Here is a 5,235-nt window from a genome sequence, read left to right on the forward strand (position 1 = left end):
AAAGTTTAGTAGCTATTTTTGTAATAAGATTACTTGTAATATATTCCATCTCATAATTATTAGTTTCTTTCATTGAAAAATATTTTCCCTTTAAATATATTTCATTTGAGACAGGTGACTTACAAGCCTATGAGATACTTTATTCATATAATATATACATTCTCTCTATATACATATAATAAAATCTTCCCATTAAATATATATTCTTTAGTTTACAAAAATGATGAGAAAGATTGAGAGGTGTAGAACAGGTTTAAAATACTGACCTTACCTAAATTATCTCTATTCTGGAAATGAGCCAGCGTCAGAAGGAATAACAACATTCATCAAGTATAAGCATACATTTTTTTCTTCCTGCCTCACAATTCCATTCTTTGCTCCTGTATTTCACTCCTTTTCTTCCATTGTATTCACACGTGAATAAAAACGACTGTTTTGTTTCCTTGGCCTTATACTATGAGCTATTCAATATGTTGATTAGTTAGTCTGACAAAGTAAACACTGTTGAAATATAGATCAGAGAAGAAAATGAATATTCTTCTCATTTTGTAAACTTGAATTTCAATGCTAGACTTTAAGGGCTTTTATCATTAAGATTTAATTACTTGGGAAAGAAAAAAGACACATGAATCAGTTAATGTTACCAAAGCACCAGGGGTTCTATCTAGTCCTGCTGCTCCCCACACAGAAAGCGAATCACTGAGACAACAAGTATTGCCAAGAGAAAAGGCTTTAATCAGGTGCTGCCACTGAAGAGTTGGAAGATGAGTCTCAAATCCATCTCATTGACCAACTAAAATTAGAAGCTTACATATCAGGGAAAAAATTATAACTCTGTATGGGAAAACAGGAACTGAGGATGGGTAAGGAAGCATTTATGATGAATGAGATGCCTGGTGTCTCATTGTCTGGATGTGATTATATGGTTAAGTTTCAGTTCTTAGAGGCCTTGTGTCTCACTGGCTGGATCTGGTGAGTTTTAGTTATCTGATACTTTTCGAGAAGCCGAGGGGTTCTTTCCTGAGGAAAAAACTCAGATAAAACAAATGGAAGTTTCAACCTTTACATCCAGAAGGGAACAACAACAACAACAAAACAGTCTATGGGGCTATTGTATCAGTTTTATTAATTCTTTATCTTTGACTCATTCACTCCTTGCCTGAACATTTAATCAACTGCTATTTAAGCCAGTTTATGGGTTCATAATTGTGTAGAGGACATAAGAATCTATTTACGAAAAAACTTAGAAACAAGTATTGCAAACATATGACATAATTTCTCAATAAAATTATATATAGGGAACTCAAAGTTCTTGAAGATTTTGACCATTATTTTTAAATGTTAGGAGTTGAAATTTATCAGAGAATCTGAAGTCAAAGCTGTTAACTAAGGGAAACTTTCCTGTATTTATGTAAAACAAAATGAGTTACAAATGTTGTGGTAGAAGAGCCAGGGTGTGGAGTAGACACAGTTGATATCATGGTACATTAGGATGAACCAGAAAATAGTGTGAAATATAAAATTAAAAAAATAAAACATTTTGGCCATAAAGTTGTTGTATGCCACAATAAGTACATTACAATTTACTTCAAGAACAAGGAAACATTATTGAAATGTTCACGCATGGGAGTCTTATAAAAATGCTTCTTTGGAAATGTATCTCTAGTAGAATGCCCTAGGATTTCAGGATACCAGTGGCACAGTGAACTAAGATAAGTAATAAAATTTGGTGAATTTAACAGACAAAGTAAAAGATACAAAGTAAACAGAATAGATTAAGTCAAGTGATTGTTCACAGGAGAGGATAAGGGGAATGGGATGAAATAAGGCTATCAAAGTCTTCTAGTTGATAAAAAATTGTCAAGGTATTCTGTATATTTTACCAAAAGAAAGAAAACAAAAAAGGATCTGATGTCACCAGAAATAAGTTTAAGGGTGGTTTGGACCTTTTCAAAGTCACTATATTGAGGACAATCTCTTTTTTTAAACTTGATTCAAGAAGAAAATAAATTAGAAAAAATGTCATTGCTGTTGTTTTAGTTATTTAACCCAGCCTGATTTGTAACCAAGTTTTTATATTTGTTATTTTATAAAATGCCAGGAATGTAAAAGAGTAGATTAAATAGTAAATATATGTATGTATAAGAAACTATTCAATAACCAAGCCTTTTTATAATTAAAATTATTGTCACTTCTGATATTTGACATTTTCATAAGAAAAATACTGTCTTAATCTTTGTAAAACATTACTTCTATTAATAAATGTGAGATTGTATTGATCAAATTTGCAGCTGTAGATTTATTTCATATTTTATATTGAGATAAAAAAGAAACAGCCAACTTAAAATAGCAAAGACTTCTAATGTCATAGTTGAAATTAAAATAAAAATGATCACCCCTTTATAGCATTATGTGAACTTCAACATCTGATTAAAATCATTATTGTGGTTTCCATGAAGGATTGTAAAGTTTTAGTAGTAATTAAATAATACAGAAACAAAATTATTTTTAAAAACTGCATTCATTTTAATTTTCAAAAGTAATCAATAATTTCAATATTAAAAAACTTACATGTTTGTGTGTATATACACATACATATGTATTACAAATAAGTCTATTCATGAAGATACTTTTATATACAGGCACTGAGGAGATCAAGATAAGCATTAAAGGTCTATGACAGAAGAATGGCCTTCAGTGTGCACAGCCTATCTTAATAGAAAAAAAGAATATTTTTAAAAAATATGTCTGAAGCTGTAAGCAGACAATTTTCTATAATTTATCTTCCTAAATGCAAGCTATCATTATGTCTTTCTGAATAAAGAGATCAGAACGAATTATGTAAATGCTTGATTGTGTTATCAAGCACTCTTGTACCTTGGTAATCACTGCTTGATTCTTTGCAATTTGGAAATAATGACTTCTAGAATGCTGACAACCCATTTGTAATCTGTTCAAGGAATCAATACAAAGACTGCTTTATATGATTAAAGAGTATTCGCTAATTAAAGCATGATAACAAGATGTTGAGAAGCAGAAATAATTGTGCTTTATACGATTTCTCTTTGAGAAAATAGATATTATTTGAATCAAATTTGAACATAAACTCCCTAGCATTATGTAAAATAGCCATAGTATTATTTTTATTGACCTTGGTAAGATTTATGCATTCTTTTAATTCTTTTTATGTAATATGAAATCATAGAATGTTCCAATTTTTATTAAGTGAAAATCAATTTATATAGAACATATTACATCAGAGCATTATAGGTGAAAAACTTCATAAATCACATAAACTTGCTGAAAGTATGAACTTTCTTATGTTTATTTTTTATATTACAATTAGACTTTAACATTTGTGACTTCTCCTATACATTTTTTGTAATAAATGCATCACAAAATCCATTAATGTGCTGTCCACATACTCTTAGAGACTACATTCCGGAGAACCTGTAAAGGTTCTACTAAGTGCTATCTCCACAATGAACTTATATTAACACTCTTAGTATATACCCACTGTAAAATAACAAAGCAAGTCCCAAATGAAACAAAAGCTCTATTGTCTCATAAGGATCAAATTTATCACCTGTCATTTTAAACAAGTAATATAAAAGTATTGTCTAATAACAATTCTTGAACTTGAACATCCTAGGGCAGTTTTTCCACATGAGCAAATCTATGCAAATACAGTATTGCAAAGCTTACACAAAATGTATCCATAGTAAATCCCTGTAATTAAAATTCTTGAACTGTTATATACATACATATGTATGGGTATATGTGTGTGCATATGTGTATATATATATACATATATATATAAGGTATTTGTATATATATAAAATAAAGTGCATATATATAATAAAGGTATACATATATATTAAAGGTTGATGTGAAAAGTAGATGCAAACAAATTAAAAAGTAAAATAATAAATATAACTTTTTAATTTAGAAGTCATTTGAACTATATAAGAAAAGGTTAGAAAACTCCCTCAGAGTTAAAACTTTTAAAATCTTTTGTAATAAAGGTTCAAAAAATTCACTCGTTCATTCATTTGAACTTGATCTTTCTTAACTGAGATCTCTCTTATTTTAAAAGTCACAAAATAAGATTGATAATAGGAAGAATAGATAAAACAGAAAAATCAGAGAGGTGGAGAAAGGAGAGAAGAGAGGGTGACTGGGAGGGAGAAGACACAGAGAGAAAAATAAATCAGATGAGGGTAAACACTAGCATAGCAATAGTGATCTAGTTTCTAAATAAGAAAACATTGTATAATTTAAAATTTAATCTAGGTATCTTAGTCTTTTTGTGTTGCTGTAAATATCTGAGGCTGAGTAAGTTATAAAGAAATGAGGTTTATTTGGCTCATCGTTCTGCAGGCTGTACAAGAAGCATGTTGCCAGCATCTGTGTTTGGCGAGAGCTTCAGGCTACTTCCACTCAAGGCAGATGGTGAAGGGGAGCCAGGGTGTTAAACTCACATGATGAGAGAGGGAGTGAGAGAGCAGAGGAGGTGCCAGGTGCATTTCAACAGCCGGTGTTTTTGGGGAACTAACAGTGAGGACTCACTCATATCCAGAAGACTGGCACCAAACCATTTATGAGGGATCTGCCTCCATGATCCATACACCTCCCACTAGGCCCAACCTCCAGCACTGGAGACTAAATTTCATCATGAGACTTGGAGGGGCCAAACAAACCATATGCAAACCATACATAGCACTGAGGTATGGCTGGAATAACAAACAATGCAAACGTATTTCTATCACATTTGTTAAACTTACAAGTGCTAGCAGTTTTTCTGTAGATGCAGTACACTTTTGTTCACAGAAAATAAAAACACTTTTAATTTTTTCTGGATGGCTTATCTTCCTCTCCCTCTCCCTCTCCTTCTTCTCCTTCTTTTTTTGCCTTATCACACTGGCTGGAACAACCATAAAAATAATGAGAATCAACACCCTTGGCATGTTACCTATCCTAGAGGAAAAGTCATCCTTCACCACTGAATATGACGGTAGCCTCAAGATCAAGATTCCTTTTTATGAGATTGAGAAATTTATCTTTTATTCATAAGTTGCTAAGAGCTTTTATCAAAAACAAATTTTCTTTTTTTTGATAGATGTATACAAAGGCATATAATGTATTATTTATTTACGTATAATCATTATTTTTTCTTAATGAATGTGTGTCAGTTATTTTATTTTCTTTTTGTAAACCTGGTTTTGCATTTTTTTT

At 31.1% G+C, this 5,235-nt stretch overlaps 1 annotated feature.

Annotated features, from left to right (window-relative positions):
- Window positions 245–746: an enhancer, noted in NCBI's record as "NANOG hESC enhancer chr13:86736088-86736589 (GRCh37/hg19 assembly coordinates)". NCBI's record gives its function as "activates a minimal SCP1, AML or CMV promoter by ChIP-STARR-seq in naive H9 embryonic stem cells {active_cell/tissue: H9 hESC(naive)}" and the evidence as "EXISTENCE:reporter gene assay evidence [ECO:0000049][PMID:30033119]".

Source organism: Homo sapiens, chromosome 13 (assembly GCF_000001405.40).
Source record: "Homo sapiens chromosome 13, GRCh38.p14 Primary Assembly".
NCBI classification, from domain to species: Eukaryota; Metazoa; Chordata; class Mammalia; order Primates; family Hominidae; genus Homo; species Homo sapiens.